Source organism: Homo sapiens, chromosome 14 (assembly GCF_000001405.40).
Source record: "Homo sapiens chromosome 14, GRCh38.p14 Primary Assembly".
Lineage (NCBI taxonomy): Eukaryota > Metazoa > Chordata > Mammalia > Primates > Hominidae > Homo > Homo sapiens.
Window position 1 is genome coordinate 81,270,531 of NC_000014.9, and position 12,549 is coordinate 81,283,079.

General features: G+C 42.3%; 1 protein-coding gene across 15 annotated transcripts in view; it reads right to left on the reverse strand.

Annotated features, from left to right (window-relative positions):
* The window catches only part of STON2 (stonin 2), a 175,814-nt gene that overhangs the window by 9,879 nt on the left and 153,386 nt on the right, over window positions 1-12,549 (reverse strand). For all 15 annotated transcript variants that reach the window (XM_024449736.2, NM_001366850.2, NM_001366849.2 and 12 more), the window contains 2 exons: window positions 6,371-8,209; window positions 140-342 (listed from right to left, as the gene is read on the reverse strand). In XM_024449736.2, the coding sequence (XP_024305504.1) occupies window positions 140-342; window positions 6,371-8,209 (2,042 nt within the window). The remainder of the gene's footprint in view (window positions 1-139; window positions 343-6,370; window positions 8,210-12,549) is intronic.

Here is a 12,549-nt window from a genome sequence, read left to right on the forward strand (position 1 = left end):
ATGTATGGTGAACTTCCTCTAAGGCAGTAAGAGGTTACCAGGCGAACATAGTAAGCATGGCTAAAAGGAATAAGAGGGGGAGGGTAGTGGGGTGAACAAATGGAGTTGGAAGCATTAGCCAGATGCTTCCCAAGGCTACCTGGTAGCTGTAGTGTGCAGAATAATTGACCCACTTCCTGACGTCAGTCTTGTCTTCTACAGAGATAGATCTCACGCTGGCTTTGGAGGCAGAAGTTGTGGGCATGCTGAACTCGACATTCACGTGATTGGCAAATCTGGAAGGCACTTCCCGGTCAGAGCCGAGTTCAAGGTGGCAAAAGAAACAGTGTGGGTGACCGGAAGCTATGAAAGAAAGACAATCGAGAGATCAGATTATTTGGGGAGAAAGTGGAAGGAGCAGCCAAAGGAGCCACTTTGGTAATAAAGGAGGCCTGTGGGCTCGGCACCCGGCAGCCTTTCAGAGGGTCCAGTGTTGAGCACGAGGATCCGCCCGGCTCAGCAGAATTCACGCTCCTGTATGCCTCAGCCCCTCGATATAACTCCATCGGATTCTAGCAGCCTGGTATCCTAGCAATAAAACCCAAGGCCTGAGAAACAGGGGCCATCCTGCCTGCTCAAGTGAGAGTGATATGTGAACACAGCCCCAACACTAAGAAATAAGGGGTAAGGATGTGAAGAATGGAATGGAAGGGATCAGCACTTAGCACCTAATAAAATACCAATGACAGCTTCCTGGAGCAAATCATTGCTTTCCTTTGAAGAATGAATTGATTTTCTTAATAGTATTTCATACTTTCAAAATGCTTTTGGCATGCTTTTGCGGGTAAATGATATATGTAAATGACAAGGACTTTATAAATAGCACATAGATATTAGGGAAGCATATGGAACACTGGACAAAACACCAACCAGCAGAACACCTGGGTTGGACTTCCAGCTCCCCTGCTAAGCAGCAGAGCTCCTGCCCTCAAGTCCTTTATACTCTCCAGGCCTCAATTCCTCCTCTGTAAAGTGGGGAGATTAGGGTACAAGGGATAAAGAGGGAGAAGTACAACAGGGTGGGCTGGGCAATGCCAGGCACAGTCCCTTGCTGCTCCTTAATTCTATACATCTATGGGTAACTCCACTATACTCGTGATGGCAAACTTTGGGTTTGATTTTTACTTGAGAATTGTTATTGAGATTTTTGAGGAAAAAGAGAGCTTACTGCTGTGACTATAACCACTGAAACATCATTGTCATTCACCTGCCATACAGGAAACATTGAAGTACCCTATGCCTTCTTCTATGTTAAATCTTTTATACAGATTCTCTCTTTGAGTCTTCAGTATGATCTTTCAGGTCAGAATGTTACCTTCATTTTATAGTCGAGGAAGCTAAGGCTTAGGGAGGTAAAATGAGCTACCCACAGTCACAGCTAGAAAGTGGCAGAGCTAAAAACTGAACCTAGCGGGAGGCCGAGGCAGGTGGATCACGAGGTCAGGAGATCGAGACCATCCTGCTAAAATGGTGAAACCCCGTCTCTACTAAAAATACAAAAAATTAGCCGGGCGTGGTGGCGGGCGCCTGTAGTCCCAGCTACTCGGGAGGCTGAGGCAGGAGAATGGTGTGAACCTGGGAGGCAGAGCTTGCAGTGAGCCAAGATTGCGCCGCTGCACTCCAGCACGGGTGACAGTGTGAGACTCCGTCTCAAAACAAAAAACAAAAAACAACTGAACCTAGCAGTCTGACTCCAGAGTGTTCTTAACCACTTTGTCTGAGTTATAACCTCATGGTCCCCAAAACAGAAGACCAAGTTTGCAGGGTGACAGGGGTAGAGAGGGATTGAGCTGTAAGAACCCCCATATAGCAACTAGCTATAGATAAACAACATGAAATGACCTTGCCTTAATTATGTAACTGAAACAGCCCCTTAGTTATCCCAGTTTCCACAAACAAACAATTCCAATGTTCTTTATTGGTCTGGCTAGGACTTTTCAATCTCAGAGAGTAAGGACATACACACCCGCTCTCCAAGGAAAACATTAGATAGTGAAGTATTTGTTTTGCTCTGTTTCACAAACGTAACATATTTCAGTGGTTATTTCTAAAGAGTAATGCTTTGGAATATTGAAAAATTTGCACTGATTTTCAGAAAAGAATTTAAGATACATATAACAGTAAAAATTAAAGTAATTGAAAATGAATCCACTCAATGTTTTTAAATTGTGTGCCACAGATGTAATTATACAGCTATCATTTATGGGACATTTATTACAGGCCAGATACTGCACTAAGCCCTTAAAAGCATTATCTCATTTCATTCTGAATGAACTAGATATTAATAACCCTATTTTATAGATGAAAAAAATTAGGTTTCTCTGAGAGGGTTAAGTAAATTGCCCGAGGTCACACAGCCGTTAAGTGGTAGAGCTGGAAATAAGATTCAGAGATGACTCTGCCTTCAAACTATGTCCTAAATTCTTCTCAATATATTGCTGTGAAATTAGATCACAACAAAGTATACAGATGCATCTCTTAATTTAATAGCAACTTGGACAACTCTTTTAATCTAATTACACTTATTTTGCACATTGTTGGAATATGGAGAAATCTTTCCTTTCTACACAACTGATTCCCTCCTTTTACTCCACCAAAGTGTACTCACAGCAAATTCTGAAAGCAGCATTCTTTACTAGAATTCTAGCATCGACTCTCAGATGGGTAAGGGTGGTGGACAGTTAAGGAAGTTCAATTTTGAAAGCTATTATGGTTTAATTCATAGTAATGCATTAAATAAGTCCACACATTCTGTCATTTCCCTTGATGAGGTTGAGAAAATTCAACAACAAAAAATTCAGATTTTTAAAATTTCCCATACAAGGATGAACATATTGGGACTGTTTTCCCTTCACCTGGTCTAATGAGAAGGGGGATTCCTGCAAAGAAAGCCACTTATGCAGGACAGAATGTTTTATTTCCTGGCAGATGATCTGTGGAAGCAGCAGGACTTGTTTCGGTGCCTTCTAAGATTAAGAAAAACTCTTGGGATGAAGGTAGGAGGGGTCCTTGGAGAGCTCAGAGAGGGGAGCTGCCCACGTATGTGGCTGGGCTGGGCCAGGCTGGGCTGGGCCCCGCCGGCGGGAGTCACGTTGGAATTCAAAGGTAGCTGCTTGATCTCTTGGTGGCTGGGACTGGGACAAGCCTGCTATAGGCTAGGGATGCCAGCAACACAAGGGTGCTGACCTGCTGACCTGCTGGCCTCTGCTGCCTGGGGTTTGACTGCCCTGCCCACTGGGGCCTGGAAATGCAGGGCCACCGTAGGCAGGAACGTGTGAGGAGAAGTAGGCTTCCAGTCAGCGGGGCCTTTGACCTCAGCTGAGCCCTAGCTTCCTTAAAGAAGGTTAAGGATTACAAAAAATAACCTGTACAAAGCACCTTCCCAGGGCTGTCTGAACACCTAGACAGCAGAGCCCAGGAAAGGGCTATTACTGAAAGATAACCATCAATTCTCTGGGTTCCCGGATGGAACACTGCAAGGGAGGGCAGGAGCTGGGCACAGTGAATACCAGCAATGAGTGAGAACTTACATTCTGCCTGGAATTCAGATCCTATACACCTCAAGTTTCCAAAAAAGGGTGCTGTCCATTTCCTGAACTGGTATGGAAACATACCACTGGCTAGAGAAGTATAAGAAGCCTCTTTATGGGGTTTCACTATTGAAAATATTGTTATATAACCATGACAGCAAAATCAGTAATGGGGCAAGGCTGTGAGGATTTAAGTAAGAAACATCAACAGATATCCTTATGCTGTGCTGTATTTCAAAAATCTTCCACAAACGAGGTTCCAGCAATCTGGAAACAGATATGTAAAACAGCATATAAGCTGCATTTACTTGCCCTTGAGGCAACAGAACACTCTCCACTGGGAATCATTAAGGAGAGTGTTTGCTGAAGGCCTGGTTTTGCTTTTTCCCTGTCCTGTATCCATCCTCCCTCTCTTCTGGTAGCAGTCTTTTTCTTTCTCTCCTTTTGGGAAATAATCTTCCCCGGTGCTACATGTTGTCTTGGTGGTCACGTCAGTCAAAATGCACTCCTCTCCCCTAGTCTCTTGAGCCAAGTTGCAAAAGTACAAAAAATAGGGCCAGGTGCGGTGCCTCAGACCTGTAATCCCAGCACTTCGGGAGTACGAGGCAGGCGGATCACCTGAGGTCAGGAGTTTGAGACCAGTCTGGCCAACATGGTGAAAACCTGTCTCTACTAAAAATACAAAAATTTAGCTACTCAGAAGACTGATGCAGGAGAATCGCTTGAATCCAGGAGGTGGAAGTTGCAGTGAGCCAAGATCGCACCACTGCACTTCAGCCTGGGCAACACAGCGAGACTTCATTTCAAAAAAACAAACAAACAAACAAACACAAAAAAACAAAAACAAAAAATAGTCTGTGATGATTTGTCCTAAGGCTACATGCTGAGGAGACATCCATTAGTCTCTATGACCAGAGCTACTCTAGTGCTGTCTGTCTAAAGTCTTCTCTTGATCAGTCTTTTCCTCAGGTCTCTGAGCTATCCTATCCAATAATTTGTTTTGTTGCTTAGGGTAGCCGATAAGTCTTTGTTGCTTATAATAATAATAATAATAAACCTTCATGCAGTACTTTTAAATGTTTGGGAGAAATCACTTTGAAACAAATAGATACGTTTGTACATACTGGAAAAACTGCAAATATCTGTTCTTCTGGTGGAAATTATTTCAATATTTGTGTCTATTTGGCTTCATCTACCAGGAGGCACCAGTGATATATTAAGAAAAGGACCCTGGATGTGACTGCATGACTCTCTAGATACGTCACATCACCTTCCCGACCTTAATTTTCTCATCTATAAATAACTTGACTAAGTTATTCAAGGTCCCTTCCAGCTTGAAAATCCGGTAATTCCATGGTTGTCTCTTTCCAAGGGCTTCCGTGTCAAAGGAGAGTTCAGGGTTTTCTCTCTTCCTCTGTCAATTCAGAGGGGCCCCGTGGATAAGGTAGAAGTTACAGTGCTACCACCAGCAGAAGACAGTGCTGATTTCAGGGGAAATGAATAAGCAGGCACAGAGAGGAACACTTGGTTTTAAAAATTCTGTCAGTTTAGAAGTAGGGAGTAGCAAATCCAGCCTCAAACACAGAGATCCAATTGTCTCTTCAGTTTGCATAGCTACACCCAGTGTCTGATACAGAATGCCCTGGTGTGTGTCCACTCCCTGGACTGCCTGGGGAGCTGGCCCGATTATACTGCCGTCGGCCGTCACATTGCATTACACTTAGGATATAATAATACAGACACTCCACACTCAGAGCGGGAGAGGAAGACTCTTAACACACTGCTACGATTTATAGTGAGAATCTAAGAAAGGATAGCCACATAAGAGAAAGCCATTTCACTCAAGAGTTTTTCCAAACCTTATCCTTTTTGCTCAGCTAGCGTATCCACTTTCGTTAACAGATGGGCAAAATGTATTCTAAACAAGAAAAGAAGGGGTTTAATGGCTTACAAGATCATGGGCTTGCTGCCTACCATTGGGGTCACCCAGACATACTCTAAGAAATATGTGTATTAGTGCTGGTTTGACTGCTCCCTCATTTTGTCATTTCACTAAATCTCACGGGACCCACGGGGGAAGTAATTGCCTTCTGGACTCACTCAAGCACAAAAGCATCCCTGATAGCTGCGAGCAGCCCAGCTAGGGCTGGTAAGCATTTTTTTGTTTGTCTAAATAAAACATTCTTTTCTTTATATTTTGTCTGCTAGACTTCTGGCCCTTTTAGAAATTCATGTCCTAGCTGGATCTTCAGTCTGATTGAAGGCCACTTTTCTTTCCCATCCCCCAGTCCCAGAGCCAAAGTCTGAATGTGAGATATTATGACTAACAGACCCTGCACAGGGTAGCTGGAGTCGTAAAATTAACCTCTCAGTGTATTGTCCATGATTGGCCATAAACTGGCCCTTTTACCTACATCGAGGGCAGTGTGAGAAAGATGTCTCTTCAGAAGCCATCTAGAAATGAATCACTTCCAGCACCACAGCTAATACGTTAATGAGTCCCCAAAGAATATAAATTCAGAAGCTGCCCTGAAAAGCTGCTTAGCAGCTCAGCTGAGAAGAATAATCCCTAGTTTTATGGAAGATGTGTGATAATGAGAGGGTGAAAAGACAGAGTGAACTGGGTCACTATACGCATTACTTACCTTGCTCAATTATTTTTACTTTTCTGGTCCCACTCCCCCTCCATCACCACTCCCATCACACAGCAAAAACAAGCACTTCATACAGGATGTGGAACTTTGATCTCAGCTTTTTCACAACTGTATGTTTGTTTTCACAGAAGAGGAACCACCACCCACCTGAGTTTTTGTCCGGCAGTCGGTTTATCCTCCACACAATGGAGTTGAAGGCATGCTCGTACTTGGCAGTTCCCAGAGTTACTCTCATGACAGGCTCAGAGCCAGAAACACTAGTGGAGCCAAAACTTGCCCCCCGGTTCACTTTGGCTTTCAAAGACTTTTCCCCCAGGACACTTTCCCTGCGGAAGTTTTTCACCCACTCACTGGGCACAGGGTAACGGATCATCACATTCTCACAGGGAACCTGAGTGAGGGGGTCACGATTGGCGGAGAAGCCAGTTGACATCCTCAGCCAGCTCTGCACCTCCACCTCTGCCCCATTGACACTTGTGGCCGTCCTGAGTGTGAAAGGCAAGGTCTTCTCAGCAAACACTGTCCTGAACCGCATTAGCTCAAACCGGCACGCATCCAAAGGGTTGAACAGAATGACCCGTGAGTTGTGGAAAACATCCTCATCCACACACCCATGGAAACGGCACTCATGGAGCTTGATCCACTTTGTGGTGGTGGTGGGCATGATGTCCTGCCTCAAAACTATTTCATTCCCTTTGACGAGGATGTCATTGAGGCCCAGGCGGCACTCTGCGAGCCCAGACAGGAAACTCAGGATGTGGATCCGTGTCAAGACATGGTGCTGGAGAATCTGGTTGTCTCCTTTGCTCACAATGCCAGAGAATTCATCTCTGACATCCACTGTAATCTCCTCTTCAAGGTAGTTGAGGCCAACTGTGCTCAAGTCCATTGACAACACTGGCAGATCCATGAGACGGTCCTGAACTGCATGGATGAAACTCAGGAAGTCATCGTAATTGGTGGTGCCCAGCTTAATCACCTGTTCCCTCTCTGCTGTGTGGGCCACAGCAGGTTTGGGCTGGTATTTCTTCTTCTCTTTATAGGTGACACGGTCTATCCGCAAGCTGTGGATTCTGCCATTCTCATCATAGTTTTGAAGCCGGGGTTCTGAAATCTCATGACAGATCTCCAGCTTGAACTCACGGAATGGTTTTTCTAGGCCCTGCTCATAATACAGCTGCAGGTAACCAGTGTCTGTCAGTTTGACGAAGATCGGTCCCCAGTGCCTGGAGGACATGATGTTTTTCTTCTCAGGGATCCTCAACATCATTGGCCACCCGTCACGAGGCTGGGACCGTGCTGATCCAGGCGGGTGAGCATCTAGTTCAATCCAGGCTACTGGGTCATCATCAGGTAGAGTTGCACTGCCAAAGTGATCAGGGTCATCAATTTGGAGTTGTTTGAGTTTTTCAACAGCATCAGAGTGTGACTGGGTTTTGCTTGAATCATCAAAACTGATGGCATCCTGGTAGATGACAATGAGGGAATCTCTTTGGCTTTTGCCCGTGGTACTGGAAATGGAACTGTTTTGGGAGCGCCTCTCCTGCTCCTCAAAGAAAGCACTGAAAGGGTTGATAGGGGAGGGCTGTACATCCTGCAGAGTCTCATTCAGGAAAGGGTTGGTTGCCCTCCAAGGTGAAGCCTCAGTTACAGAAGGCGTGCGGTTTAAAGAGGAAATATCCAGCTTCTGAACTTTGGAGAAGTTCATCAAAGTGCTCTTGGGACGGTCCCTCTTCTTAAATGATCCCATTGAATTATAAGGTACATCTGGGATCACAGATGCACTTGGTGGTGTATTTGGCTTCAGAGGAGAGGTGACTGGTGGTAAAGGGCAGCTGACTTCATTGTCATCAAAGGTGACCCAGCTGGGAAAACGAGCAGAGGTCACTGGAGGGGCAGGGTGCCCATTCATGGCTGGACTGCTGGCCTGCCAGCTGATGGCCTCCATCTCTACTTCTTCATCTTCTTGAAGCGAGGAGGAATTGTCTAAAAGGAAAAGGAGAACATATGAGCTACTGTTCAGGGGCTCTAGAGGTAAGGAAAACTGAAGTATAGGAATGAGGGATTACTAGAATTTTAACTGGAATCCAGTACATTCCAAAGCAGCTCATTATCTGTTTCAAGTGCTTAGTCTGGGCATAGATCTCACAATTCTGTAATGAGCACCCCAGAGGAGCTATCGCATTAAGTGCAATAAGAACCCAATGGCTATATCAATACAGAAGTATTGACTGGTAGTACCAAGGTCTCTTGCAATTTATATACTCTTCCTTATTTTATAAAAGCTTCTGGAATAGATGTGTTCTGTACTTAGCTTTGAGGAATGTGTTCTTAATTTTTAAACATTGAAAGCCATCTCCTATATAAAATGATATAAGCTCATCTCACTGAAAAAAACCAAGTTATCGTCTGTAAGTGATAATATGATTATAAATAATATTCTTGGAGGGATTTTAGCCTAAACATAATGAATAAATATTAAAGACAAACAGTTAACCTTCTTAATATTCAGTAGGTTCATACATGTGAATAAGAAAAACACAAAAACCCCAAAAGAAGTCTGAGTAAAGAACATAGACAACTCATGAAAGAGAAACTAAAAAATGTCTAGTAAGTATGTGAAAAATATCGAATCTCACTAGTAATAAGAAAAATGGCCGGGCACAGTGGCTCATGCCTGTAATCCCAGCACTTTGGGAGGCCGAGGTGGGCAAATCACGAGGTCAGGAATTCGGCACCAGCCTGGCCAACGTGGTGAAACCCAATGTCTACTAAAAATACAAAAAAATTAGCTGGGCGTAGTGGCAGGCACCTGTTATCCCAGCGGCTTGGGAGGCTGAGGCAGGAGAATCACTTGAACCCAGGAGGCAGAGATAGAAGTCAGCGGAGATTGTGCCACTGCACTCCAGCCTGGGCAACAGAGCGAGACTCTGTCTCAAAAATGAAAAATGAAAAAAAAAAAATCAGTGAAGATTTTGAAAGATTTTAGTGCTCAATGAGGGTAAAGGTGCCATAATAGGAGCACTAAGTGGATGCTTAGTGAAACTAAGTTGCAACAGATGCTCTGAAAAGAGATTGGGCAATTTATATTAAGGATCTTAACACATGTTAATAAACAATGACTTAGTAATTCTACCCTAAGAAAATAAATCTAAATTATGAACCAAGTTTGAAGAACAGAGATGTCCATTTTGGCATTATTTATAATAGGGAAAAATATTTTAAATATTCAACAATTGGGTGAGTGTTAAGAAATTGAAGCCTACAATAAAATAATACCCACCCACTAAAATGTTTACAAGTAGGCAGTATATCAGGAGAAAATGCTCATGATATAATCTCCTTTTTTTCTCTAAAATATTTTTCCATCTCGAAGTTTATTTTTTATGATAAAAAGGTTATTACAAATAAAACTCCACTTTAGCAGGGCCTTCAAGGAAAGAGATACAGGACTTGGGTTTGATGAGGGCAAGATCTAAACTTTTTCAGTAACCTAAGGACCGTGGGTATCTGCTGGGGCTGTGGGAAGGGAGGGGAAATGAGGCTTTTAGCAAGGAGGAATGAATTCTGATGAAGGAACAGCACAGACAACAAATGTGTGCATATAGTAGGTACTCAATAAGGTTTTTTGATTAAATAAGTGAGAAAAGAAACTTTGCTTTAGAGTAGCTCTTCCATTCTCTACGTCTCTGCAGGAATGGGTATAGGGGATCTCTGCTACCATCCTACCCACTGTTTCTATGGCCAGTTGTTTGGAATCAAAGGGAAATGGATACTCAAATGACTGAGTTTTCTGACCACCTCACTACATCTTCATGCATATCACATCCAACCACACCCATCAGCAATGCCGCACATAATTGCACATAATTATACAAGGATGGGATGCTGGCTTGTCACCCATCTTTCCAAGTAATTTATTCAAACAGATAGCAATTCTCTCAAATGAAAACGTAAGTTTGAAAATGTAGGCTAGGCCGGGCACGGTGGCTCATGCCTGTAATCGCAGCACTTTGGGAGGCCGGGACGGGCAGATCACTTGAGGTCAGGAGTTCAAGACCAGCCTGGCAAAAATGGTGAAACCCTGTCTCTACTAAAAATACAAAAATTAGCTGGGCGTGGTGGCACAAGCCTGTAATCCTAGATATTCGGGAGGCGGAGGCAGGAGAAGTGCTTGAACCTGGGAGACAGAGGTTGCAGTGAGCCGAGATGGCGCTACTGCACTCCAGTCTGAGCGATAGAGCGAAACTCCGTCTCAAAAAAAAAAAAAAAAGAAAAGAAAAGAAAATGTAGGCTGTAGGCTAAACACGAGTATGCATATACATATACACATATCCATACCCACCCCAGAAACAAAATGAGCGAAAAGCATTTTCTATATCTACAGTGACTAAAAAGGATTCTAAAGCATTTTTAAATTAAAGATGAGAATCTCCTTCAAATTAAGCATGAATCCAGTTTTGTATAAGTGATTAATTTTCTGAAAATCGAAGGGAAAACGGTCAGGAAACAACCTACACTTACAGTATTTATATTTTATTTATCATTTTGGTAACAAAGTCTAAAAGGAACATTGTGGTCCTGAGTGAAATATAATCACTTCCTTGGAATGGTAATTGATCCTGTCTAGAGAACTGGGAAAGGGGTACATCTCAAAACTCATCAACTTCTAATGAGGCAGCTCTAGAGAGCCTTTGTGATGTAGTGTTTCCACCCAAACAATCTCTATTGGCCCACCCCTGGCATCAGGGTTATCCTTTTTGTCTTGGAGCTCACCCTGTAGTTTAAAACAAGCTGAAGTCCTTTTTCTTTGGAGGGCGGCTTTCTGCCAAAGCTGTTTACACTTGCCACCAAAGGATTCCCTTCTGTTGGGAATCTTGTCCTCAAAACAGCCCTTCTCATCTTCTAAGCCAAAAATGAAAAGAGAAAAAAAGGCCTTTGTCCCTACTGAAGATCATTTTCTTACAATAAATTCCTTTTCAAACCAAGTTAGTTTAAATCACGCCAAGTCCTAAACAGTTTTGAAGCATTAGAGTTATAATACAAATTAAACAAGTGTCTTTAAATTTGAAGGGAAATGTTTGAATTCAATTAATTTCTAGGGATTCTATTTTCTTTCTGACAGTCATTAAAAAATATCAAAAGACTTTGTTACAAAATTATCTTCCCTTTGGCAGTTTCATGTCCCATAATTGCATGTATTTTTAAAACTTATTCTCTGGGATGGTAGCAGGGCATAGGTAAAATTTCTGAAATTGAGATTTTGTTTTTCTATGAAATAATTTATTTAAAGAAATCTGAGAATTGTAAGAAATAAATTCTAAGAGTTTATCCTAAGGAAATAACAGGACAAGCATGCAACGATGTACACAGTGATGTTTATTACAGCAATGCTTCTATCACAGAAAAACATGAAAAAACCTGAATGCCCAACAATGGGAGACTAGTTACATCAGTGGTCATACCCTTAAAATGAAATTCCATGTAGCTGTCAAGATGATGCTCTTGATGCATGTTAATTCACACGGAAGTTGACTAGGACATATTGTTGAGTGAATAACAAGAAACACCTAAAATCTGCAGTCAAATTGCCTGCGTTTCAATTCCATACCTACGGCTTTTTAGATATGTGATTCTAGGCAAGTCTTAAATTTCCCTCTATCTCAGTTTTCCTATATATTAAATTAGGGAAATATTAAATCCTACCAGACAAATAATAAATGCTCAGTAGATGTAGGCTGTTCTTAGTACTACTGCTACTACTACTACTACTACTAGAATGATAATGTGTCATTATAGAAAGTACGTATGTATTAGAAAGCTTTGGAATATAATAATCTCGTAATATTTTGATGTGAAAACAAATCTCTCATGGGATAAGAGGTGATTTAAAAAATTCGAAATCTGTATTCTTTCTTTCAAAAACTGCAATGTTCCTTACAAAATAAAGCAACATAGCATTATAATAAAAGTTCAAAACATCTCTTTATTATTACTACTAATTAGCCTTAGAGAAAGGAAACAAAGTGCTTAGCTATAGTCTGTATTGAGAAAGCAGCAGTTAGATCTTTCCCAAGACAATTATGACTGGTGTGGCTGGGACTGGAAACAATGAGAGGGGGAAAAGCTGGCAAATTTCTCCAGTAAGAAATAGGCAAAAACCAAGTATCTTGATCACAAAGCTAATTCTTCTCCACAATTCAATTTACTAATTTATTAAAATAAAACCAAAACCCAAACTCCAGCATTATTTTAATTACTATCCCTTCCACTGGCTACCTCCAAATTGTTTTTATTATGAGTCGGGCTGCTGCCAAACAAAAGCC